Source organism: Homo sapiens, chromosome 9 (genome assembly GCF_000001405.40).
Source record: "Homo sapiens chromosome 9, GRCh38.p14 Primary Assembly".
NCBI classification, from domain to species: Eukaryota; Metazoa; Chordata; class Mammalia; order Primates; family Hominidae; genus Homo; species Homo sapiens.
The window spans coordinates 120,569,759-120,597,586 of NC_000009.12; the positions used below are offsets into that span (position 1 = coordinate 120,569,759).

Genomic DNA, 27,828 nt, shown 5'->3' on the forward strand with positions numbered 1-27,828 from the left:
CAGGCTCCCTCTGGCTGCCTTTCTGAGAACAGACTGTAAGGGGCTTAGGAGAGAAACAGGGAAACCAGTTAGGAGAATATTGGGATAATCTAGGCCGCAGATCATGGTGGGTTGGAGTAGGATGGAAGGAGTATAGGTGGGTGAGAACTAGTCTGATTCCGATACTTTAAAAGTAGCCAACAGGAATAAATGAAATGAGATGAGATGAAGTGAAATACACAATGTTGAGAGAGGAAAGTACACCTTAGTCAGCCTGGGGAGAGCCAAAAAGGGTGGTGAGCTTTGAGCTGAGTCTTAAAGAGGGAGCAAGGAGGCACCGGGCAGATGAGAAACAAAAGGAAGGAGAGACAGCCCAGGCAAAAGCACAGAGGTGGGAGTGGGCATGGTGTTCGGAAACCACTTAGCAGAAAAGAGGCTAAGGAGTGGGCAGGGCAGACTGTGAAGGGCACGCTAGTTTGTTTTCCTGTTCCTCAAACGGGCCATGCCCTCACCTGTGTCTGGGATGCTCATCCCCTCCTTTTTCCTTACCTACATCTGACTTATTCAGGTCTCCGCTCCAATATCAATTTCTTGGGAAACTCTAGCCTGACCCACCTCCACACCAGAGGAAATCTCCCTTTAATCCCCTCTCACAGCACTTGATACATCTTTGCTCCTGACACTGACCATACAAATTCTCATAAGGGTTTGTCTGTCTTCTCAGCTTAACAGTAACCACATTTGAGGTTGAATTTTAGCACTGAGCCCAGAGTCTGGCATGAAGCAAATGTATACTATCGGCTAAATTAAGAAATAGGCTGGCCAGGCACAGTGGCTCATGCCTGTAAACCCAGCACTTTGGGAGGCTGCGGCGGGTGGATCACCTGAGGTCAGAAGTTCGAGACCAGCCTGGCCAACATGGTGAACTCTGTCTCTACTAAAAATACAAAAATTAGCTGGGTGTGGTGGCACGTGCCTGTAATCCCAGCTACTCGGGAGGCTGAGGCAGAAGAATTGCTTGAACCCACGAGGCGGAGGTTGCAGTGAGCCGAGATCACACCACTGCACTCCAGCCTGGGCAACAGAGCGAGACTCCATCTCAAATCAGACTTGTTGGATTTTGCATTTAAAGTAAAAGTTGCCAATGAGTGCAGTGGCTCATGCCTGTAATCCCAGCACTTCGGGAAGCTGAGGCAGGTGGATCACTTGAGTCCAGGAATTCGAGACCAGACTGGGCAACATGGCAAAACCGTCCTGCAAAAAATACAAAAATTAGCCAGGTGTCGTGGCACACGCCTGTAGTCCCAGATACTAGGGAGACTGAGATGGAGAATTGCTTGAGTCCAAGAGGTCAAGGCTGCAGTGTGCGTGATCGCACCTCTGCACTCCCAGCCTGGGTGACAGGACAAGACCATGTCTCAAAAAAATAAAAAGTAAAAATAAAGTAAAAGTTAATAGGTTCCTCAGGAAAACATGAAGGTGCCCTGTAAGTTAAGGGATTTTCCAGAAATAAACCGTGGGACTCTTTTCCTGTCTGCTCCAAAATCTCCCTCCTCTTGCACATATCTCAGCACTGTGGAGAAGAGAAAAAAAAGAACAAGTCAAAATATCTTAGAGATATTTTGCAAAAACTAGCACTACCCACAGAGACGCTTAAGCATTCACTTTTTTCAGAAATAAAAATTATGAAGAATGCTTAGCTAGACCCAAACTGCAAAGTCTCCTCATAATCCAGCTTAAACACAGTACGCTACTTATTTACTCAGAGCCGTCTCCTGTGGTCTAACCAGCTATTTGTCTCCAAAGGGCAGGCCCGTGTAGGAATGCGGGGCCTCAGCCGGCAAACAGGATCCAGCAGCCTGCCAGGAAGGCCTTGGCACGCTACAGTCCAGATGGCAGCTCTCCTGGGCCTCCAGCCACTGGCCTAGCTGCCAATTCAATGTCCAGCCTCCGTGCAGTTGTTCAGTTCAGCAAACGCTCACTGAATCCCTATAGCTTTAGTAGCAACAAATGAAACTCATGAAGTATGGCCAAAAGGACAACAATTCCTCTAGTCCAGTGTTTATGAAAGGAGGTGGAAAGCAAATCAATACATACAAAAAATACTGAGCACCTACGGTGTGCCAGTTCAGGGAAGCCTCTGGGCCCCAGAGATATGAAAGCTCAAGATGCTCACAGTCCAATGTCTACTTTCCTTGTTCTTTACTCAAGAGAATGCCTGGTTTTGTGTACTTACGACCATTTCCCAACCCAGCATTGGGGTTGATGCCATCCAGGTCATCTGGTACACTGGGAACAAGGCCACTAGGAGAGAACACATGAGATAAGAGATGAGCTAATGTTTGAACAACAGAGACTGTTAAGACGGTCTGGACTGCACATGACAATCATCCCATGGCCAGGAGGGATGCACACAGCTGGGCTACCTATGTGGCATGAAGCACAGAGGTTAAGAACTCAGGCTTTGGGGCTGAGTTCCAGCTCCAACACTTGATAGCTGAGTGACCTTCAGTAACATCATTCATTCAGTCATACATCAAATGTTCTGTGTGCCAAATATGTGCTAGTGGCAGAGGCACTGTGACAAGTACAAGATACTTATGTTTCTGAGTCTCACCCTCTTAATCTGGTACATGAGGATACCATGCCCTCCCTGTAAAAATTAAATTCGTTCATGTATATAAACACAAAGCACATAGTAAGTATTCAGTAAACGGCAACTATTGTTGTTGTTACTATTATCATTATGACTACTAATATGCCTATCACCACCTCTGGGAATCAGACACCAATTTAGATGTTTTAAGAATGTCAAACAATGCAAAATTCACTGATCCAAGAAGTTGTCTTGGTTGAATTACATAAATAAATTCAGTGAGGATCTGGAGACACTGACAGAAAACTAACCCATAATAGGAGGTGTGGTGTGACACAAAAGACACTACCCTGATCTATTCTAAGCTCTGCCATGTATCTCTCTGAGCCTCACTTTCTTTAGCTGTAAAATGAGTACAGCAGCTACCTCACAGAGTAACTGGCAATTAAACAAGATATTGCAAGGTACCTTGTGGGTACTCCACAAATGGGAGCAAAATATCATGTCGCCTTGAAACCTACAGTGCTTTACAATTTATAAAAGATTTACCATCATTAGAATTGCCTAATTCCCTGAGGGTGCACACATTTTTCAAAGGAAGGCCCCAAGGCCCAGACAATTTTACTGTCCTAGCCAGGGTCACATGGCGGTTCTGTGGAGAGCCAGGTCCAGAAGCCAGGTCTTTTATGTCCAACTCCCACGAATACTTCCCTATCCCACACTGTAAAGTAGGAGTTGATGGAAACAGCTTGACTTCTTGGCAATTTGCTCTTTCCATGCCTCTAAATCCAAATTCATTGTGCTCCTAGGATAATTTTGCCTGACCACCAAACTTTGGAGTTGGAATGTACCTTCAAGATCAAAAACAGGCAAAAAATTGGAAATATCATAAAATTCCAACATTAAGAAAATGATCACAAAAAAATGTGTCCGGGCTGGGTGCAGTGACTCATGCCTATAATCCCAGTATTTTGGGAGGCCAAGGCTGGTGCATCACTTGAGATCAGGAGTTCGAGACCAGCCTGGCCAACATGGTAAAACCCCATCTCTAATAAAAATACAAAAATTAGCCGGGCATTGTGGCAGGTGCCTGTAGTCCTAGCTACTTGAGAGGCTGAGGCAGGAGAATCACTTGAACCCAGGAGGCAGAGGTTGAAGTGAGCTGAGATCATGCCACTGCACTCAAGCCTGGGTGATAGAGTGAGACTCCATCTCAAAAAAAAAAAAAATTTAAAAAAAAAAGTGTCCCCTGTAAAGGTAAATGAAAAAACGTAAACAGAATATGTCCTCAATTATGAAAACAAATATATACAGTACATAAATACTGAAGTCACCTCAAGTCCATTTTGGAAATAGGTGGGCTACAGATATATAACAAGACAAAGGAAATATACTGAAATATTAAAAATCATCATTAGTAGGGAAATGAGAGGTTTTCTTCCTTTTTAATGTTATATAATTCTCAATTTCCTCCAATAAACATCACTAAAAGGACAAAGTCAATTTTCTAAACTGAATTTTAAAAACTAAAATCAAGTTCAACCATCACCTTTTGCAGATGGTGGTCCAGAAGCCCAAGGTCACATACACCAGGTTATTGGCCAAGCTCAGCCTAAGGTCTGGTCCTGCATTCTCAATCTGGGGTTCTCTCCGGGTACCAGAGCCATTACATTAACTCCCACTGGCTAAAACTGCCCATGAATAACTCAAGCCAAGATCAATCACAGCTGAAAAGTACCTAGCAAACAAAGCCAAAGATTCTGGTCTTAGACAAGCTTCCTACAGGCAAACACTGAAGTTTGAAAAATGACATCTGACATCCCAACTCTTAGACAAAACCACTATGTAATGCAGAAATTTTTGCTTGGATCCTGCCAAATTTCCACTCGGGCTTTACCTACCCACTTTTAAAATGCTATGAATCTGTCATCTGCACCCTCCAGTCAGTTCCAACTACACCTCCAGCCACAAGCAGCTCCCTCTTTCCATTCTAATCATTCACTTGTAGCCTTATAATTAAGGCTGGGGCCTCAGGGATACTCACGAGAAATGACAATGTAAGCAAAACAAAAGGGCTCAGATATGATCTTATTCCACAGATGAGAAGACTGAAACCCAGAAATGGGTTAGGAACTTATTTACTCAAAATCACAAAAGTTAGTGGCAAAGCCAAGCCCAAAATCCAGGATCCCAGTGTCTTTTCCACTTGCTAGCCTGTGTGTGGACTGCCCAAAGCTCCTATATAAATGTGACACATGGTGGAGTACCAGTTTCCTCACGTGCAAAATAAAGCACAATCTAAGAAACCTGCCCTTGTATGGGGCACCCATGCTGCACAAGCACCACACTCAGCACAGGACAGGCAGCCTTCCCTTTCATCCTCACCACAGGATTAAAGTCCATTTTCTAAACTGAATGTTTGAAACTAAAATCAGGTTTAATCCTCACTATAGTCTTTCTGCGGCTGGTGGTACTTTTTAATGTTGCCTTTTTTTTTTTTTTTTTTAATGAGGAAACAAAGACCAAAAAGTTAATAGGCTGGAAACTCCAAGCCAGCCTGACTTTAAACCCCCTGCTGTGAACCTACACCACCCTGGTACCCCTGACGCCTTCCCGGAGGTTGGGGGTGGCAGGGGTGTGGTGGTGGTTAAGGGCCGAATGGACTGAGGCATAAAATTTCCATCACTCAGCACAGGGCACAGCCATCATAACGACTGTTTTGTTTTGTTTTGGTTTTTTGGAGACTCTCACTCTATCGCCCAGGCTGGAGTGCAGTGGCGTGATCTCAGCTCATTGCAACCTCCACCTTCCATATTCAAGCGATTCTCGTGCCTCAGCCTCCCAAGTAGCTAGGATTACAGGCATGCACCACCACGCCCGGCTAATTTTTTGTACTTTTAGTAGAGATGGAGATTCACCACGTTGGCCAGGCTGGTCTTGAACTCCTGAGCTCAGGTGACCTGACCGCCTCAGCCTCCCAAAGTGCTAGGATTACAGGCGTGAGCCACCGCGCCCAGCTGTAGCAACTGTTTGTGGATAATTTTTGAGTGACTGAATGGACCTTCACCTGAGCTCCACCACCTCATCCTCCTATCTTGCTCTATTGCTACCGAAAAGGACTGACCTCTTTCTATGCCTACATATGCCAGCAACAATTGTCCACTCAAACCATAAGACCCAAGGGGTCTTATGTCTCCTTGACAAATTGTTTCATGAGAGTCATGGATGAGACCAGATATCACATTCTGACAACGATTACACAAACAAACTCACTTTTGTCTTTTAACAACCCCTTTTTCATTCTATTTTATTCTTAATTAGAGAAAAATACATAAATTTAAAAAAATACAGATAAGCCTAAAGTTCTCCTTGGCTCCTCCTCGCTCCCATCTAGAACCCGCCTAGGAGGTAATCACTGTTTTCAAAAAGACCTATAACTTCCAGAACTTTTTATGTGTTTTTACATAGATAGTTTCAATTTTGCTGCTTAAAAACACATGCAATCAAACAGTATACATCATGCTACAACATCCTTCTTCTACTTAATATGCCCTCATGATGTTTTCATGACAGTACAAATAGATATGCCTCAAAGTTTTCAACTCCTACAAAGCTTTCTACAGCAGTGTTCTTCAAACCTTACTGACCATGAGCCACAGAAGAAATATTATTACCCTTCATCCTTGAAATGTTTTCTATTCTGTTCTATTTTTCTAAATCCTGGTTGCAACCTACTAAATTGAATTTCATGAGCTACCAACGGGCCACAGTCTGAAAGATACTTTTGAAAGGATGTGTATTTACCCAATCCCCTACTGATGATAATTCAATTTGTTTCCAAGTTTTTCTTTTACATGCAATGTCATATGAATGTCCTTATAAGGTCCCATATGCACAAGTATGAGGATTTCTCTAGAATAGATGACAAGAAGTGGAATTGCTGGGTCAAAATATATTCACGTTTTTTAAATGGACGATGGATTTGAATACACATTTCTCCAAAGAAAGTGAACAAATGGCTAAAAGGCACATGGAAAGATGCTCAACACATCAGTAGCCATTAACATGTAATCAATACCACAATGAGGGCCAGGCGGGGTGGCTCACTCCTGTAACCCAGCACTTTGGGAGGCCAAGGCGGGCAGATCACCTGAGGTCAAGAGTTCGACACCAGCCTGGCCAACATGGTGAAACCCCGTCTCTACTAAAAATATAAAAATTAGCCGAGCATGGTGGCACGTGCCTGTAGTCCCAGCTACTTGGGAGGCTGAGGCACCAGAACCGCTTGAACCCACGAGGCAGAGGTTGCGGTGAGCCGAAATTGCGCCACTGCACTCCAGCCTGGGCAAGGGAGTGAGACTCTGTCTCAACGACAAAAAAAAAAAGACCACAATGAGATACCTACCATGTCACACCCAAAGGATGGCTATAATCAAAAGGACAATAAAAATATCAGTGAAGGGCAGGCACAGTGGCTTGTGTCTGTAATCCCAGCTCTTAGCAAGGCAGAAGCAGGAGGATCACTTGAGCCCAGGAATTTAAGACCAGCATGGGTAACAGAGCAAGACTGTCTCTAAAAAAAATTAAAAACAAAAGCCTTAAAAAGGAAAGAAATTCTGACACATACTACAACACGCATGAACCTTGAGGACATAATGCTAAGTTAAATAAACCAGTCACAGAAGGACAAATAGTGTATGATTCTACTTATACGCGACACTTAGAGTAGTCAAAATCATAGAGACAGGCTGGGCGCAATGGCACATACCTATAATCCCAGCACTCTGGGAGGCCGAGGCAGGCACAACACTTGAGGCCAGGAGTTCAAGACCAGCCTGGTCAACCTGGTGAAACCCCGTCTCTACCAAAAATACAAAAATTAGCCAGGCGTAGTGGGGCATGCCTGTAGTCCCGGCCACTAAGTGGCTGAACCATGAGAATTGCTTGAACTCTGGAGGCGGAGGTTGCAGTGAGCCAAGATCACTCCACTGCACTCCAGCCTGGGCAACAAAGCGAGACCCTGTCTCAAAAAAAAAAAAAAAAAATCATAGAGACAGAAAGTAGAATGGTGATTGTCAGAGGCTGGGAGAAGGGGGGAATAGGGAGTTACTGTTTTAACAGGGACACAGTTTCTGTTTTGCAAGATGGAGAGTTACGAAGATAGATAGTGGTGACCGTTGAGCAATAATACAAATATATTTAATACAACTGAACCATGCTTTAAAATGGTTAAGATGGAATGTATGCAGTATCTACGTCCTGCAAAGGCAGGGAGATGAGGGAAAGGAGAATATTTGCTGATCTGTTGAGTAGTTACTCTGGGTCAGACACTGAGCTAAACTTTTTAAGATTCATTTTAATCCTTATGCCAACCCTAGGCTTTATACCAACCCCTTTTACAGATGATAAACACTGAGGCTCACAGATGATGAGTGACTTGCCCCAGATCAAGGGGTTGTTAAGTAGCAGAACTGGGATTAAAACCCAGCTAGGCCTGGGACCCCAAAACCCAAGTGTCTGGCCAAAAAGCACTGAAATAAGAATGGCTATCTGAGAGAATAATAATGGAAGTTATGATAACAGCAATAAGCAGCATTAAAAGTATAAAGCAGCAGACTGTGAAGAGCAGATTTATATTTAAAAAATAGTTCTCACGCCGGGCGCGGTGGCTCACGCCTGTAATCCCAGAACTTTGGGAGGCCAAGGAGAGCAGATCATGAGATCAGGAGATGGAGACCATCCTGGCCAACATGGTGAAATCCCGTCTCTACTAAAATACAAAAATTAGCCACGCACGGTGGTGCACTCCTGTAATCCCAGCTACTCCGGAGGCTCAGGCAGGAGAATTGCTTGAACCCGGGAGGCGGAGGTTGAAGTGAGCCGAGATCGCGCCACTGCACTCCAGCCTGGTCACAAAGCAAGACTCCGTCTCAAAAAAATAAATAAATAAAAAATAGTTTTCAAATTGTAGTATAAAAAACTATTAGAGGTGCAAAGGACAATACAAGAGAGAAGCCATACTCCCAATATATTGGGGCAGTGGATGTAAAATAGATAGAAAAGGGCATGATGAAATATCACAGGACCCAATTAGACAGGAACTGCAAAGCATCTTAGTCTGTGCCTCATACATGAAGGTTCTCAATAAACAGAAAAACCATTTGTCCAGGTTTACCCAAGATAGGCCCTCTTTATGTCTGCTGCCCGGGCATAAATATTAATTATTTTCACTTTCCTTTTTTTTTTTTTTAAAGATAGAGTCTCACTTTGTCACCCAGGCTACAGTGCAGTGGCATGAACACAGCTCACTGCAGCATCAACCTTCCGGGCTCATGCAATCCTCCTGCCTCAGCCTCCCGAGCGGCTGGGACTACAAGTGCATGCCACCACGCCTGGCTAATCTTTGTAGTTTTTGTAGAGATAGGATTTCACCATGTTGCCCAGGCTGATCTCACACTCCTGAGCTCAAGAAATCGGCCCACCTCGGCCTCCCCAAGGGCTAGGATTACACAGGTGAGCCACCGCACCTGGCTCTTTTCACTCTTAAGTGTCCCAGTTAGCACAATAAATAACATGGTCACCCTTTCAATTAGGATCTGTTGACTAAAAGCAGCAGCTTGTCCATAGTAGAGCTGGATAAACAGTGCAGGTTCTCCGTCAGGGCTCTCCTCCTCTTCCCTCTACTCACTCTCCAACCAGGAGTCTAGGACAACCACAGGGGCCAGCCGTGGAGCAGAGTTGCGCTCTGTTAGGCCTTCCTACCAGACCCCAGCTCCACCAGCAATGGGGACTCCCACAGTCTCTTGGGGCAGGTCCATGGGAGGCCACTCTTGGCCATTATTCCCTGATTCATATCACCTTTGATGACAGTAGTAATAATGACACTAATGGCAACACAAGATCATTTTTTAAGCACTGATTATGTGGCAGGCACTACACCTGCCAAGCAAATGGCTCGACAGGCATCACCTCTTTTAATCCTCACCCCAACTCTGTTGGGTGGATATTACTAGCCCATTTTACAGATGGGAAAGCCGGTGAAATCACTTTACCAAGGTCACACAGCTAGTCAGTTTACAGGGCTGGATTTGAATCCAGTTTTGTCCAACTCTAGCCAAGGTTCTTAATCATTGCACTCCATTGCCTCCTGGGTGGCCACTATGTGACCCAAAAAGCAAAGTCTGGGCATACCGGCTACACTCTCTCCATAATGAAAACAAACTCTCAAACCAGAAGGAACCATCAGGTGCCCTCAAGGTCCCTGTTCTCCACCAATCCCCACTAACGGGATACTCCAAGTGGCCCCACCCTCGTCCTACTCTTTCAGAAAACTCCTTACCTGTTCTTCACACGCTCTACAAAGTACATGGCGCAATGCTACTGGCAATTGTGGTGCAGGTCGCGGCTCCCAGCCCTCCAGAGTGTCAGGTGGTGGGCCCCCCAGAGACCCTCTCCGAAGGAACCCACCCCACACACTGCCCCTGGCCAGACACCCTCAAGAGCAAACCCCAAGGCCGCGTTAGAACGAAATCCCACCAGCTGGAACCCCGGCCCGGTTACCACGACCACCAATGCCCCGGCCGCACCTGCAGCCGCTGAGCGTCCCAGGGACGGTGACGTCCTCTTCCAACACCAAGTCCATCATGGCTACAGAGGTGGCGACAGCGTTGGTGTCTGTGGCGGCGGCGCCACTAGTACCCCCCGCGATAGCGACCCGCCGGGCTCCCCAGGTCCCCGCCCCCTCCACCCCAGCTCTTGTTCAGACTCTGGCGGCGCCGCTGGAATTCAAACCACAGACGCCGCCATCTTTCCCGGCGCTTCTTCCTACGGAAACGAGGCGGGGTCACGGAGGCGCACGCAGTGAAGCCGACCGGCTGGCGCCAGAGGACGGGCAGGGAAGCGGGGATAGGTGCCATCTTAACTAAGGGCAAAGCATCCGTGCTTAAGCCAAGCAAAAATAAGAGACAAAAAAAGGCCGGCTGCCATTTTTTGTGAGGGCACTTAGGGAGAGGCGAGGGCGGGTGCCATCTTTGTTGAGGGCCAAAGCGGGCCCTAGTCCGTTAATTTACGCGGGAGATGGAAATGAATACAGCCACTCAGGAATCCTCAAAGTTCCTAACCTCGTGTTTGCTTTTCTAGAATAATGACCCCAAAACTTTGGGATTTGACCTTAAGTTGAAACTCAGATAACTGAGTGCTGCCTTGCTTTGGAAAAATACTACGTGCGGAATCTCAAGGCAAACAGTAATTTGCAGACTTAGTTTGAAGCAAATAACTCATTCCCATGAGCCAGTGGTCAACAGCACTCCCACTCCAGTCTCTCACCTATTGGTCTTTTATTACCATTAGGACTCAAAGGCACCTGTGGTCAGAAAACTGAGGGCCAGCAAGAGGAAAGGACTCTCCCAAAGTAATTAAGTATTGACAATGTCTTTCAACTGGAGTGGGGGTCTGCAGCTCCTGCCAACTAGATGAGGGCTCTCTGCATAACCCTGGCTGCCTTTCTTTTTTTTTTTTTTTGAAATGGTGCCTCTGTCGCCAGGCTGGAGTGCAGTGGCCCGATCTCAGCTCACTGCAACCTTCACCTTCTGGGTTTAAGCGATTCTTCTGCCTCGGCCTTGCGCCACCACACCCGGGTAATTTTTGTATGTTTAGTAGAGACGGGGTTTCACCATGTTGGCCAGGATGGTCTCAATCTCCTGACCTCGTGATCTGCCCACCCCGGCCTTCCAAACTGCTGGGATTACAGGCGTGAGCCACAGCACCGGCCCCTTGGCTGCCTTTCTTAAAGCACATAGCAATCACCAAACACTTAGATAATCTTGGCAGAGCTTAAGCAATGAAATTAACCTTCCCCTCCTCAACTCAGTGTTGCTCCTTCCTCTGCAGGCCCTTGTGAGAGAGCCCGATGAAAATAACTTGAAATGGTTGGTGAGTGGATAGATAGTGACTTTCCCAGTAATCTTGAACAATTCCCCTTTCACCCTGTTTCCTCATTCTTTTTTTTTTTTTTTTAAATAGAGACAGGGTCTCACTATGTTGCCCAGGCTGGTCTTGAACTCCTGGCCTCAAGCAATCCTCCCACCTTGGCCTCCCAAAGTGCTGGGGTTATAGGCCTGAGCCACTGCACCAGGCCCTCATTCTTCAGTTAAGTAATTAACCAATTATTGATACTTTTCAAAAGAAGCCTTCCCTAGTCATTTAATCTAAATCAAGCCACTTCTTGTATTCCTAGCAATGCAAATTATTCCTTTGTGGCACTTACCATATTTTGCAATTTGTGTGTGTGTGTGTGTGTGTAAAATCATTTTTTAAATGTCTTTCCTTGCACTAGACTGGAAGCTGCATGGGGCAGGGACTATATTCTGAATTGTTCACTGCTATATCCTCAACACCTAGCACTATGTCTGCCACTCAGCAGCTATTTGAAAATGTATGTTAAATGAATGAGTGATTCAATCAATCAGTCTGGAAATAAGGCCAATACCTATCCTGCAAGGTTTTTGTGAGAATAATCAGAGATACTTTTAGGACCTCTGTCAATAGTAATTCTGTGTATCCCAGATTCATATTCATTCTCTCTCTTTCTCTCTCTCTCTCTGTCTCTCTCTCAGCTTTAGTTAGGCTTCCAAAGCCCGCGATTATTTGCCTGTCCCCCTTCTTTCTCTAGATCTTCAACCACACCCACAATTAGCAATGATAAAAGCATGAAAAAGAGGGAAAGCTTAGCACACCTGGTGCACTGCCTCAGGAACGGGGCAGTCCTTGAAGCCCAGGAACCAATACTCCTTGCCAGTAAGTTCAACCCATGAGATAGGTGTGTCCAAAAGCAGGGAAGTTGGGGTGTCAGGATTCCCACCCTGGCTCTGCCACCAACTCTGTGATCTTTGGCAGATCACCTTTTTTTTTTTTTTTGAGATGGAGTTTTGCTCTTGTTGCCCAGGCTGGAGTGCAATGGCACGATCTCGGTTCACCACAACCTCTGCCTCCCGGGTTCAAGCGATTCTCCTGCCTCAGCCTCCCAAGTGGCTGGAATTATAGGCATGCACTGCCACGTCCGGCTAGTTTTGTATTTTTAGTAGAGGCAGGGTTTGTCCATCTTGGTCAGGTTGGTCTCGAACTCCTGACCTCAGGTGATCCACCCACCTCAGCCTCCCAAAGTGCTGGGATTACAGGCATGAGCCACCCCACCCGGCCTGGCCAATCACTTCTCTGTGGACCTCAGCTTCTACATCTGTTAAATGAGAGGGCTGAACCTCTCAGGGTCTCTCAGGATGTTACAGCTCTGGAGGTGATTTCTACATTTCTTTTTTTTTTTTTTTTTAAGATGGAGTCTTGCTCTGTTGCCCAGGCTGGAATACAGTGACGCGATCTCAGCTCACTGCAACCTCCTGGATTCAAGCGATTCTCCCACCTCAGCCTCCCAAGTAGCTGGGATTACAGGCACCTGCCACCACGCCCAGCTAATTTTCGTATTTTTAGTAGAGACGGGGTTTCACCATGTTGGCCAGGCTGGCCTCGAACTCCTGACCTCAGGTGATCCACCCACCTCGGCCTCCCAAAGTGCTGGGATTACAGGTGTGAGCCACTGTGCCTGGCTTCTGTGTTTATTTCAAAGCTACTAACATACAACCAACTCTCTCCTGGGGAGGGAGGCTAACACTTCCCACATGAAAGAACTAACTTTGCATCTCCAGCCAATGAAAACTCTTGAGAATATAAACAAGGAAGAGAACTTATACATTTTGAGCATGTCTTATACGTCACTTGTTCCAGGCATATTACATGCACCACCTCATTTAACCCTCCCAACAACCTTCTGCAGGAGGCGCTACTATCTGACTTACAATTGAGAAGACTGAGGCTGCAAAAGGTAAAAACTACTTACTGAAGGTCCTACAGCTGGTAAGTGCCAGAGCTGGAATTGAGACCAGGGCCCTTTGAATTCCAACACCTTGATTGTTTCAGGCAACCTGTCATCCCCATTTGGGTTTCTCTTTTGCTTTAGAATTTAGTACTAAGAGGCAAGGTCTACATCCAGACGACAGTATTTAAGGGTTGTGTTCACCAGACTCTACTCCTTGGGAAACTGCTTCAAAGTGGCTAAGAGGTGAATCTTAGTGTGGGCAGTTTACAGAACTGGAAGTCTGGACACCTGGATTCTGACTCTGGAAACTCCTCCCATTTATCCTGTGACCTGGGGTTCCTTCCCCTTGCTACACTTCGATTTTCATGTGTAAAATGGGGAGGACAATGCTGAGTTCACATGGTTGCCTCATCTAATTGAATACCTTAGACATTATTGAAGATGAAAGAACCTGTGAGGAGTTGGGTTGTTTTTTTAACTTATTTAATTTTTTTTTTGGACACAGGGTCTTGCTTTGTCAACCAGGCTGGAGTACAATAAGAGTGATCATAGCTCACTGCAGCCTCCACCTTCCAGGCTCAGGTGATCCTCCCACCTCAGCCTCCCGAGTAGCTGGGACCACAAGCAGGTGCCACCATGCCGGACTAATTTGTTTATTTTTAGTAGAGATGGGGTCTTGGTATGTTGCCCAGGCTGGTCTCGAACTCTTGGGCTCAAATGATCCTCCCACCTCAGCGTCAGAAAGTACTGGGGTTATAGACATGAGCCATCACGCCCAGCCTAGGATCTCTCATTATGATTAGTCCATTGCCTTGTTCAGCATGACCATGTCCCTGGGTTGCGTGCTAAACCCTTTAGTGAACCTAGAAACTGAAAATAGAATCAATTGCACAAAGGAAAGGCTATTTGGAAGTTGGTTTTCCTGCTACTGTAGTGGTTTCATGTTCAGAGACAGAGGCCTTTGTCCTGTCTCTGTCTCACCATGATCTTTCTGCCAAACCTAGAGGTGACGTCACTACCACCAGCTGTTTGGGCTATCTGGGGCTATCTCCTTGACAACAGCCACCCAACCACAAAGCTGGCATTATTATTTCCTCAGACAAGGTCATATCAAATGGCTGGGAGGAAGTAGCTTGCAGTCAGATGTTTTTCATTTGGGTAGAACCCTCCTGAAGCTTTAACAGATCAAGACATTTGCACTGCCATTACTAACAGCAAAAATAACTTTTTATAGGATCAATATATACGCAATGCTACTACTTTGCACTCTTCCGTTTTATCCTCATGATGCTGTGAAGTGAATTGGGTTGATCGCCCTACTCTACAGAAGAAGAAACTAAAGGCTCAGAGAGGGGAAGAGATTTCCCAAAGGTCACACTTTTTTTTCTTTCCTTCTTTCTTAGTTTTTTATTTAGAAATAATTTCAAACTTAGAAAAAAGTTGCAAAAATAGTACAAAGAATTTCTAAAATATTAACATCTTCCACAACCATAGCACAATTGTCAAAAATAAGAAATTACATTGATACAATATGACTTATTACAGATCTTATTTAAATTTAATCTTTTCCCATTAATTCCCTTTTGCTGGTCCAGGATCCAATCCAATATTCCACACTGCATTTACTTGTTACATCTCCTTACTCTCCTCCAGTCTCTGACAGTTCTGTCTTTCATGGCAATGACACGCTTTGTTTTTGTTTTTGTTTTTGTTTTTGAGACACAGTCTCACTCTGTCACCCAGGCTGGGGTCCAGTGGCACTGCAACCTCCGCCTCCCGGGTTCAAGCAATTCTCCTGCCTCAGCCTCCCAAGTAGCTGGGACTACAGGCGCACACAACCACACCCAGCTAATTTTTGTAATTTTAGTAGAGACAGGGTTTCACCATGTTGGCCAGGATGGTCTCAATCTCTTGACCTCGTGATCTGCCCACCTCGGCCTCCCAAAGTGCTGGGATTACAGGCATGAGCCACTGCGCCTGGCCCAAGCTGCCCTTCTAAACCATGGCCGTGCTGAGATTCAAACCCATGCCTGTCTGGTCCCACAGTTGGCAGTATTTCTGGCAGACACATCTGCCCCCTTGCTCCCAAGACCTCTTACCAACCAACCCTCAACACCAGCAGTCCTTATTAGGACCAGTTCTCAATTAGTACCCACTGCCTTCTCTGAAGAGCAGGGTGATCAAGTCAGTGATGCCTTCTGGGCCCAACATGTAGCCCCAGGCTGTGCACATAGTAGATGCTCAATGCCAGTTTGTCAAATTAACTCCAAGTCCTGACTTTTTCTCAAGATGGAAAGTGGAATGAGAAATACCAAATATCAAAGGAATAGAATATAGATTATTGGACTAGGGATGGTAACACACATCAACATAATATAAGGTTAATACCAATCTCCCAGTTCAACTCTCTGGGCCTATTTTCTTATCTGTATGCTGAGTGCATTACACTACAACATTGAGGCCCCTTCAGCTGTGATGTTCCATGAATAACTAAAATTAGCTACCATATATTAAGCTCTTTCTATGTGCCAGGTACTGTGTTATATACTTTGCATTCAATCCTCACAATAACCTTATGAAACAAGAACTGATTATGCTCCAACTTTATGGTTGACAAAACTGAAGTACAAAGAGAAGAAAGAGTTGCCTGGCCATTGAAGGGGATCAAAATATGCCATCCCAACATATGCCCCTTTTGCATAAGGATTATTTTGAGCTGAAGACAATTGAGAATCAACAGATGCAGAAAGAATTTTCTGCCTTCTCCTTTTCTACCCTGAAGCAGGACATAAATTCCCCTTTGTGAACATGTGCCTCCTCCCTGTCTACCATTAGTTTCCCCCATATATTCCCTAATCACTTCCCCATGATTTATCAGCCTTGAAGCTCAACACTCCCTTCTTTTGCTATAATGGGATAAAAGCCCTTGAGCCTAACCACTTATTTGAGTTTCACTTCTTTTCTATGAACTCTTGTGCACATAACTATTAATAAAAATTAATATGCCTTTTCTCCTGTTAATCTGTCTTTTGTCCATTTAATACACAGAACCCTCAGGTACTGAACCAGACAGGTTAAAGGAAAGTTTTGCCCCGACACCATCCAAGTAGCTCAGTTGTGAAGACAGGATTTGAACCCAGAATTCATCCAAAAGCCCATGTTCTTAACCACTAGGCCGTAGTGCCTTTCACTGAATACCTGTCCTCAAGAAGCTGGTGAAAATGCACATACATAATTATGAAACAAAGCAAAACATTTTAAATACTTTGTTGGTATAAGAAAGATAACAGGGCTGGGCACGGTGGCTCACGCCTGTAATCCCAGCACTTTGGGAGGCCGAGGCAGGTGGATCACAAGGTCAGGAGATCGAGACCATCCTGGCCAACGTGGAGAAACCCCGTCTCTACTAAAATACAAAAAAAATTAGCCGGGTGTGGTGACACGCACCTGTAGTCCCAGCTACTCAGGAGGCTGAGGTAGGGGAATCGCTTGAACCTGGGAGGTGGAGGTTGCAGTGAGCAGAGATCGTGCCACTGCACTCCAGCCTCGTGACAGAGCAGGACTCCATCTCAAAAAAAAAAAAAAAAAGAAAAGAAAAAGAAAAAGAACAGTGAGATTCTAGGATCACAGAAGGGATTGAGTCATTCTGATTGAGCAGTTGGGGAAGGCTGTTTTACAAGTAAGACCTATGCCCTGCAAAAGCAGGATAAAAACCTGTACATACTATTATGTGCACTAGCTCCTCATGTTTGAAGGCCAACAGAGATCAAATAAAATCCCTACTTGATGCAACTATTTAAAAAGCCCATGTCACATTCTTCATCCCTTGATTCTACCTCACAACAGCTCTAAGACAAGTTTGTTATCATTCTTCTACTGATAAGGAAATTGAGACTCAGAGACATGAACCGATTTTCCCAAAGTCACACAGCAAGCTAGTGACAGAGAGGAGCTTGGACCTCCATTTCCTGATTCACAAAAGGTGGTTCCTGAGCTTTTTGAAACTTGCAGGAGCCAGAGATATGTCCCACGGCAAGATCTCCTACCTAAATTGATCATCCTCAGTACGATGGCCACATCCCCACCCACTTAAATCCAGGGTCTGGCTAACAGAGATCTAAAAGCTGCTGGAAAAATTATCCTAGGATGCCAGAGAGTGCTTTCAAGCACCCTCTCCAGCTGCACATTGAATATGTAAAGCAGCAATAGCTCTAAGCAGAGAAGGGTAATTGAATTAATCAACTGTCTGGACATTTTGCAGATTAAAAGAAGTACTTAATGTCTTGTGACTTGCAGGAGGGGACGGTAAACTTTGCATCTCCCTTAAATGCAGTGAATTCACATTGAGAGCACAGAGCAGGAACTAGAGAAGGATGAACACAACACTTGTGGCAGCTGCAGTGCCTCCTTCCTTAAAGGGATAAATGACAGTCCCCTTTTCCTTGCATGTGTCCTCCTGTGTGTGTGACATGCCACCAAGTACACTGCACAGGCTGTGCCCTACACAAGCACATCCACCCAAAGGAGGAGTGGAGGCTGAAATTGAGTCCGTGCTGTGCTGGACAAGCTGTGAGTTTATCCCAAAGCAGGGATGCCTTTTTTCTAATTCACACAAAAGAACTATACATGCCAGTGACTCTTAGAGTCTAAAATATGCTTCCTTCCCCTTCTCTGTGAGTCCTAGGGTCCTCTGAACAACAGTTTAAGAGAAAGTTTTGGGACCCAGTTTGGGTAGATGTCCCACCTCTGGACTCCCAGCATACCCTGAGCTTATCATCATTGTGACATTTAGCTCTGTAATTGTTAACTTGGCTGCCACAGTGTGAACTCCTTGAGGCCAGGAGAGGCAATGTCAATATTTTATTTTCATTTCATTTTATTTTTTGAGACAGAATTTCACTCTTGCAGCCCAGGCTGGAGTGCAGTGGCACAATCTCGGCTCACTGCAACCTCCGCCTCCCAGGTTCAAGCCATTCTCCTGCTTCAGTCTCCCAAGTAGCTGGGACTACAGGTGTGCGCCACCATGCCCAGCTAATTTTTGTATTTTTAGTAGAAACAGCGTTTCACTGTAGTGGCCAGACTGGTCCTGAACTCCCAACCCAGGTGTTCTGCCCACCTCGGCCTCCCAAAGTGCTGGAATTACAGGCATGAGCCACCACACCTGGCCAATGTTAATATTTTAAATCAACTTTATTGAGATAGAATTTACACAAAATAGGTGTACCCACTTCAAGTATACATTCTGGTGAGTTTTGGCAAACTTACATACTCATGTAGCCATCATCAGAATCAAGAGATACAGAATAGCAGACTGGACGCGGTGGCTCATGCCTATAACCCTAGCACTTTGGGAGGCTGAGGCGGGCAGATCACTTGAGGCCAGAAGTTCAAGACCAGCCTGGCCAAAGTGGTGTTACCCCATCTCTACTAAAAATACAAAAATTAGCTGGGCATGGTGTTGTGTGCCTGTAATCCCAGCTACTCCAGAGGCTGAGATAGGAGAATCACTTCTTGAACCCAGGAGGTGGAGGTTGCAGTGAGCTGAGATCACACCACTGCACTCCAGCCTGGGCAACAGAGCAAGATCCAGTCTCAAAAAAAAAAAAAAAAGAGAGAGAGAGAGGTAGAACACGACTCTCCAACAGAACTTTCTTGGATGATGGAAATACAGTATTCTAAATCTGCACTGTCCAATACAATAGCCACTAGCCACTTGTGGCTATTGAACCCTGGAAATGTAGCTATGTGACTGAGGAATTGAATTTTTAAAATGTTTATCTTAATTAAAATTTAAATAGCCACATGGGGCTAGTGGTTACTGTATTAGCATAGATGTGAAACATTTCCATCACCCCACAAGGTTCCTTGGTGTTACAGTCCAAGTCAATCTCCCTTCCCCCTCAGGAAATCACTGTTCTTTTATTTTTTATTTTTTGAGACGGAGTCTCACTCTATCGCCCAGGCTGGAGTGCAGTGGCGCGATCTCCCCTCACTGCAAGCTCCGCCTCCTGGGTTCACGCCATTCTCCTGCCTCAGCCTCCCAAGTAGCTGGGACTACAGGCGCTGCCACCACACCCGGCTAATATTTTGTATTTTTTAGTAGAGATGGGGTTTCACTGTTTTAGACAGGATGGTCTCGATCTCCTGACCTCGTGATCTGCCCGCCTCGGCCTCCCAAAGTGCTGGGATTACAGGCGTGAGCCACTGTGCCCGGCTTTTTTTTTTTTTTTTTTTTTTTTTTTTTTTTTTTTTTTTTTTTTGAGACAGAGTTTCGTTCTTGTCACACAAGGTGGAGCGCAATGGTGAGATCTGGACTCACTGCAACCTCCGCCTTCCGGGTTCAATAATTCTGCCTCAGCTTCCTGAGTAGCTGAAATTACAAGTGTGCACCACCACGCCCAGCTGATTTTTGTATTTTTTAGTAGAGACAGGGTTTCACCACGTTGGCCAAGCTCGTCTCAAACTCCTGACCTCAGGTGATCCACCTACCTCAGCCTCCCAAAGTGCTTGGATTACAGGCATGAGCCACCACACCCGGCCTCACTGTTCTATTTTTCCTCATTAAAGATTTGTCTTTTTGGGCTGGTCATGGTGGCTCTGACCTATAATACCAAAACTTTGGGAGGCCAAAGCAGGAGGATTGCTGAAGCCCAGGAGTTCGAGACCAGCCTACTCAATATAGGGAGTCCTCATCTCCACAAAGAAAAAATTAAAAATTAGTGGGGCATGAGGTGGCCGCGATGGCTCATGCCTGTAATCCCAGCACTTTCGGAGGCCAAGGCGGGTAGATCACGTGAGGTCAGGAATTCAAGACCAGCCCGGGTGACATGGCGAAACCCCATCTCTACTAAAAATACAAAAATCAGCTGGGCATAATGGCACATACCTGTAGTCCTAGCTACTGGGGAAGCTGAGGCAGGAGGATCCTTTGAACCTGGGAGGCAGAGGTTGCAGTGAGCTGAGATCACGCCACTGCACTCCATCCAGCCTGGGCAACAGAGTGAGATGCTGTATCAAAACAACAAAAAAAATTGTTTTTTCTTTCTTTCCTTTGTTTTTTGTTTTTTTGTTTTTGTTTTGAGACGGGGTCTCCCTCTGTCGCCCAGGCTAGAGTGCAGTGGTGCAATCACAGCTCACTGCAGCCTCGACCTCCTGGGCTCCAGCGATCTTCCCGCCTCAGCCTCCCGAGTGGCTGGTACTACAGGCACATGCCACCACACCCAGCCAATTTTAGTATTTTTTGTACGGATAGTATTTCGCCATGTCACCCAGGCTGGTCTCAAACTCCTGGACTCAAGCTACTCTCCAGTCTCAGCCTCCCAAAGTACTAGGATTACGAGCATGAGCCACCATGCCCAGCCAAGATTTGTCTTTCAACAGTTTCTTAGGACTGGAATCATACAGTGCATACTCTTGTGTCTGGCTACTCTGGAGAGCAAGAACTTTTAACTCTATACCCTCTGGTCTCTTATAGTGCCTGGCAGATAATAGGTGTTTAATAAATATTGAGGAAAGAATGAATTAATAAATCTTAACCAGAATTAATTATCTTACTCTGAACACCCTTATCTTCCCACTGAATAGAATACAAGAATTAAAAAGGTCCTCACAGAGAACATTTAACGAAACTTCTTGGATTTACCAGTGGAAAAACTGAGATCCAGATGGATTCAGCGGCCTGCCCAAGTTCACTCTACAAGTGCATAACAGAGCAAGAATAGACCCAAAATGGGCAGACTTCCAGGCCTGTGCTCTCCTCGCTTCACAATACCAGTTTCCCACCCATTTCCCATAGGCAAATATGGCGTTTCTTCATGGATCCCTGTGGAACCATAGAATGCCAACAACATGTCACTTTGCTTCTTTCAGCCTCCTGTGGATGCCGTCCTGGCCACAGACCACTCACTGAAAACACAGAAACAGCAGCAATTCAACTTAGGGAGGTGTCTCATTTCATTTAAGTATACCCAAAACCCAAGAGTAGCCTTACTCAAATACTGGGCTGTAGATTGGTTTTCTAGTCAGGAAGCAAACTAGCTGGTACCTGATCCAATTATCCACTCACTAGAGATAGAAAAACATTGCATTTTTTGTAAAGTTTTTATTTAAAACCTCTTTTTTTTTTTTTAGACGGAGTTTCTCTCTTGTCACTCAGGCTGGAGTGCAATGGCACGATCTCGGCTCACTGCAACCTCTGCCTCCCGGGTTCAAGCGATTCTCCTGCCTCAGCCTCCCGGGTAGCTGGGATTACAGGCGCATTATCAGCACACCCGGCTCATTTTTGTATTTTCAGTAGAGACAGGGTTTCACCATCTTGGCCAGGCTGGTCTTGAACTCCTGACCTTGTGATCCACCTGCCTCGGCCTCCCAAAATGCTGGGATTACAGGCATGAGCCACCGCACCCAGCCTAAAGACCTCTTAAATAATAGGGAGAGAGGAAGCGAACTATTCATTATAGACCTTGCATGTGCTGCGATGCTCCACATAAGGTTTTCACTTAACCTTGCTGCAACCCTAAGAGGTCAGCATCAAGACCAGCCTGAGCGACATGGCGAAACCCCATGTTTAGTGATAACTAAAAAGTTATTACTTTTATAGGTAATGGCGACAAGACGAAGAGCCATCTGTTAAGTTGCCCCAGATCCTACAGTTGTGAGGCCTGCACTAGAACCCATATCTCTCTGCTTTTGAAATGGGAGGGTTCCCCAATCCCTCTCACAGGACGTGTGAAGGCAAGTGTGGCTTGCCTGTCACTGCCACTGCTCAAACCCCCGAGGGAAGGGGGAACACACAGACAGGCAGTTGCAGGAACCCAAGTGGGCATGTGTTACAGTGTGCCCTTTTAGCCCTCCTATCTGTAGACGGCTTGAGTGTTAAACCGCTCAATGGACCCTCTGCCTTTTCATAAGGGCAGAGGGCCAGTGTGATAGCTTTCTGTATTGTGAGCTCTTGCCTAGCATCCTGGAAGAATCGGGTCACACATGGGCTTGAAGGATGAATGTGGGGTTTTATTGAGTGGTGGAGGTGGTTTTTAGAGGGATGGATGGGGAGCTGGAAGGGGGAATGGAATAGGAAGATGATATTCCCCTGGAGCCTGCCCATCCAGTGGCCGAACTCCTCTCTGACCACCCCCAGCCAAACTCCTCTGGGCATTCAGATGTTCCTCTTCGTCTCTCTTTCTCTGTTGCATCATTCCGCAGTTCCTCTGCCTATCTCATCTCCTCCCCTGCTTGTCTGCTTCCGGAGCCTGGAGTTCGGGGTTTATATGGGTACAAGATAGGGGGTGTGGTGGGCAAAAAGGCAACTTTTTGGGCACGAAAACAGAAATGCCTGTTCCCACTTAGGGCTGCAGGTCTCCAGGCTTGAGGGTGGGGCCTTTGCCGGGGACCGCTCTCTTCTACTCAGTATTTCCCTGTCTCCTGTCCATATCACTTTCAAAGCTGATGCTTTTTGTACCATAAGCTATTATCTTTTAGAACCAAGAAAAATAGATTTTATGTTGATGTTCCAGTATGCACCTTTTAATTAGACAGTAATACAGGTAAATAATCTATGTTGCTGTTTGTTGGGCAGCTCATAGCTCAACTGGGTGCCATTTGCTAACTTAGCCTTTAGCCTAGGTTTTCTGGTATGTTTCTGCTTCCTCCTTAGTATACTTAACTGATACTTTAACTCTTAATTCAAAGGTTTAATGATCTCTACCTTTTAATACAAAAAGTTGAGATACAGATTGTAACTAAATAAAATTCTTTACCCAGGACAGTACCTGTTAACATTGAAACCTTTTCATTTTAACTGAAGGAAATTCAAAATGTAACTGTTGCCAAATTCCTTGTTTCCAAATTTAAAGGCCTCTCCATTTCAGACAATTCCACTGGGGATTAATGGCCCATTGGCGTCTATACAATTTCCTTAATTTACCCTAAAATTATTATCTTGAGTAAAGCAGAATCTTAATAGACAACATTAATGTCTTTATCCTTGTCTGGAAGGATCTCATCTCTTTGCAAAAAATAGCTTCTTCAAACGAGGCTGGATAATCCCCCCTAGCCATGGTGATTAAAGATAACAATGGCTCATTTAGAAAATGTTTTGGGGAAATTAAAAAGCTGAGATGAAGCCTGTTGGTTCTGGAGTAAAAGTAAAGGCAGGAAGGGGAGGACACCAAAAGCATCCATATATTGGACTATGTTTGCTTCCTACTCAGTCAGCACAGGCCGCAGTGTTTGAGGACATGCAGTCAGGTCTGTGGGCGTGATCTCTCTCTACACCGAAGGAATGAGCTTCATCAGCACCATTCCATCGAAGGGAATTTTGTGCTGTATGTTCCCAGGGTCACTCACAAACATCCCTACTTACAAGTGACTTGATGCTTTCCAAAATAACAGTTTATTGGGATTTTGGTTTAAGTTTGCACTAATTCAAAGCCTGCAGACTGCAGTATACTTACACACCTTTATTGTACTTATGAGTGTAGAAACTGTGATACGGCTGATTCACTTATTCATTTACTAACATATAGTGAGGGGTGTGTGTGTGTGTCTGTGTGTGTATGTGTGTGTGAGAGAGAGAGAGACAGGGCCTCACTCTGTTGCCCAGGCTGGAATGCAGTGACAAGATAATGACTTACTGCAGCCTGGACCTTCTGGCCTTAGCTGGGCACAGTGGCTCATGCCTATAATCCCAGCAGTTTGGGAGGCCAAGGCAGGAGGATTGCTTGAGCTCAGGAGTTCAAGACCAGCCCTAGCAGCATAGCAAGACTCTGTCTCTAAAAAAAAATAAAAATTATTTGGGTGTACTGGTGTCCACTTATAGTCCATCCACTTGTAATCCCAGCTACTCAGGAAGCTGAGGCGGGAGGAACACTTGTGCCTGGGAGGTCAAGGCTGCAGTGAGCCAAGGTCACACCATTGCACTCCTGCCTGGGCAACAGAGTGAGAACCTCTCTATAAACAAACAAAAGAAAAAACCTCCTGGGCTAAACGTTTCAATCTTCCAAACATACAGTTGATTCCTCTGGCAACCAGCACCCTCATCTTGAGGGGCTTTTCCAAAGTCACTTCAATAACTCAGGTGTGGTCAACAGGGACTTATGATAAGTAACAAAAGTTGTTCCTTTCACCTTTATCACCCTGGACCTATTACAAGAGCCAGGGGCAAAAACCAAATATAACTTAAGATGCTACTACAGCTCTTATCATTTAGAAACTTGCACAAAAGCTGGGAGCTAGACAAAGACCCAAATATATATTTCTTTTTTTTTTTTTTTTGAGACAGGGTTTCGCTCTGTTGCCCAGGCTAGAGTGCAGTGGCGCAATCTCAGCTCACTGCAGCCTCCATCTCCTGGGTTCAAATGATTCTCCTGCCTCAGCCTCCCAAGTAGCTGGGATCACAGGCATTCACCACCATGCCAGGCCATTTTTTTTGTATTTTTAGTGGAGACAGGGTTTCGCCATGTTGGGCCATGCTGGTCTCAAACTCCTGACCGCAAGTGATCCACCCACCTCGGCCTCCCAAAGTGCTGGGATTACAGGCGTGAGCCACTGTGCCCAGCCTATATTTCTTATTATATCACAATACACAAGAGAGTATCATCATCATCATCATTTTTATCATGAATGAATATTGGATTTTGCCAAATGCCTTTTGTACAGCTATTGAAGTAATCATCATATTATTTTTCTTTCTCAGCCTTTGTGAATTACACTGATTGATTTTTAAATGTTATACCAAACTTACATTTATGTGATAAACCCCAGTTGGTAATGAAGTACTATTTGTGCGTGTGTGTGTGTGTGTGAGTCAGAGTCTTGCTCTGTCACCCAGGCTGGAGTGCAGTGGTGCAACCTCCACCCCCTGGGTTCAAGCAATTCTCCTGCCTCAGCCTCCCACATAGCTGGGATTACAGGCATGCGCCACCACGCCTGGCTAATTTTTGTATTTTTTGTAGTAGAGACGGGGTTTTGCCATGTTGGCCAGGCTGGTCTCGAAGTCCTGACCTCGGGTGATCCGCCCGCCTTGGCCTCCCAAAGTGCTAAGATTACAGGCAGAAGCCACCACGCCCAGCCTTGAAGTACTGTTTTTTAAAGTGTATTGTTGTACTTAAATTTGCTTGAATTTTCTTAGAAATGTTTCTCTCTATATTCATGAGAGACATTGGTCTGTTGTTTTCTTGTTATGTCTTCTTTTTTTATTTGGGTAATGCTGGTTTCATAGAATGAGTTGACAAATATTGCTTCTTTAGTTTTTCTGGAAGGGTTTGTGTAGAATTGGTAATATTTCTTTAAATATTTCTAGAGTTCACCAGTGAAGCTATCTGGACCTGGAGTTTTCTTTGTGAAAGGTTTGTTTTTTGTTTATTCGGAGACAGGGTCTCACTGTGTTGCCCAGGATAGAGTGCAGTGGTGCAGCCTCGGCTCACTGCAGCCTCAAAATGCTGGGCTCAAGTGATCCTCCCACCTCAACTTCCCAAATAGCTGGGACTACAGGCATATACCAGCACACATGGCTAATTTTTCTTTTTTTCTTTCTTTCTTTTTTTTTTTGTACAGACGGGGTCTCACTTTGTTGCCCAGGCTGGCCTCAAACTCCTGGGCTCAAGCAGTCCTCTTGCCTTGGCCTCTCAGTGTGCTGGTATTACAGTGTGAGCCACTACACATAGCCTGTGAAAGGTTTTTAACTACAGGCCAGGTACGGTGTGGCTCATGACTGTAATCCCAACACTTTGGTAGGCCAAGGCGGGCAGATTACGAGGTCAGGAGTTCGAGACTAGCCTGGCAAGCGTGGTGAAACCCCGTCTCTACTACAAAAAATACAAAAATTAGCCAGGCACTGTGGCGCGCACCTGTAATCCTACTACTTGGGAGGCTGAGGCAGGAGAATTGCTTGAACCCAGGAGGCAGAGGTTGCAGGGAGCTGAGATCGCACCATTGCACTCCAGCCTGGGCGACAGAGCAAGACTCCATCTCAAAAATAAATAAATAAACAAACAAATAGTTTTTAACTACAAATTAAATTAAATAAAGGTAACATGACTACTTAGGTTATCTATTTCTTTTTGAGTGAGCATGGTTTGTGTCTTTGAAGGAATATGTACATTTCACGTAAGTCATCAAATTTGTTGGCATAAACTTCCTTTATTATCCTTTTTTTTAGACGGGGTCTTGCTCTGTTCTGTCACCCAGACTGGAGTGAAGTGGAGCAATCTCGGCTCACTGCAACCTCGGCCACCCAGGTTCAAGCGAATTCTCATTCCTCAGCCTCTCGTTTAGCTGGAACTACAGGTGCTATGCCTAGCTAATTTTTGTATTTTTTTAGGAGAGTCGGAGTTTCACCATGTTGGCCAGGCTGGTCTCTCAAACTGCTGACCTCAAGTGATCCCCCCACCTCGGTCACCCAACGTGCTGGGATTACAGGCATGAGCCACCATGCCTGGCCCCTTTATTATCCTTTTAATGTTTATGGGATGTATAGTGATTTCCCCTCTCTCATTCCTGGTACTGTTTTTGTGTGTGTGTGTGTGTGTGTGTGTGTGTTTTCTTAATTTTTCTGATTATCTATCTGTCTGGAAGTCTATAAATTTTATTGAATTTCTCAAAGATCTAGCTTTTAGCTCTGTTTTTCATTTTATGTTTTCTATTTTATTTTTGCTCTTGTCTTTGTTATTTCCTAACTGCATACTTTGGGTTTATTTTGCTCTTCGTTTTCTAGCTTTTTAAGATAGAAGCTTACGTCATTAATTTGAAGTCTTTTTTGTAATATAGACATTCTGAGCTTTTCTCTAAATACTGCTTTAGCTGCATTCCACAATTTTGAAATGTTGTTTCATTTTCATTCAGTTCAAAGTGCTAATTTTTCTTTTTTTTTTGAGACAGAGTCTCACTCTGTCACCCAGGCTGGAGTGCAGTGGCATGATCTCGGCTCACTGCAACCTCTGCCTTCCAGGTTCAAGCGATTCTCCTGCCTCAGCCTCCCGAGTAGCCGGGATTGCAGGTGCCTGCCACCACGCCTGGCTAATTTTGGTATTTTTAGTAGAGATGGGGTTTCACCATGTTGGCCAGGCTGGTCTCGAACTCCTTACCTCAAGTGATCTGCCCACCTCGGCCTCCCAAAGTGCTGGGATTACATACTTGGCCTCTATGACTTACTTTTTTTTGCTCAACATTGTTTTTGTGATTCATCCACATTGATGTATATAGCTGTAATTCATTCATTTTCCACGGCTGCATAAAATTCTGTTCAAAGTATATGGATAGACCACAGTTCTTCTACTGACAGACATTTGGACTGTTTCCAATTATTTTGCTATAATAAATAATGCTGCAGTGAAGAATTTGAAATGCAGCTTCTGGTGCACATATATGAGTTTCTCTAAACTATATACCA

At 45.1% G+C, this 27,828-nt stretch overlaps 1 protein-coding gene across 17 annotated transcripts in view, besides 2 other annotated features; it reads right to left on the reverse strand.

The window, feature by feature from the left end:
* CDK5RAP2 (CDK5 regulatory subunit associated protein 2) overlaps window positions 1–10,409 on the reverse strand; it is a 191,293-nt gene extending 180,884 nt beyond the window's left edge. For 15 of the 17 annotated variants that reach the window (NR_073554.2, NR_073555.2, NR_073557.2 and 12 more), the window contains exons 1-2: window positions 10,162–10,409; window positions 2,216–2,283 (exon numbers count right to left, since the gene is read on the reverse strand). Coding sequence is in view for 12 of the 17 variants with exons in the window: in NM_001272039.2 (NP_001258968.1) it covers window positions 2,216–2,283; window positions 10,162–10,220 (127 nt within the window). In the remaining 5 variants the exon portion in view is untranslated. The remainder of the gene's footprint in view (window positions 1–2,215; window positions 2,284–10,161) is intronic. The other 2 variants (NR_073558.2, NR_073556.2) reach the window with 1 other exon arrangement.
* Window positions 10,081–10,643: an enhancer, noted in NCBI's record as "NANOG-H3K27ac-H3K4me1 hESC enhancer chr9:123342117-123342679 (GRCh37/hg19 assembly coordinates)". NCBI's record gives its function as "activates a minimal SCP1, AML or CMV promoter by ChIP-STARR-seq in primed H9 embryonic stem cells {active_cell/tissue: H9 hESC(primed)}" and the evidence as "EXISTENCE:reporter gene assay evidence [ECO:0000049][PMID:30033119]".
* Window positions 10,497–10,626: an enhancer, noted in NCBI's record as "active region_28892". NCBI's record gives its function as "activates an Ori minimal core promoter by ATAC-STARR-seq in GM12878 lymphoblastoid cells {active_cell/tissue: GM12878}" and the evidence as "EXISTENCE:reporter gene assay evidence [ECO:0000049][PMID:35858748]".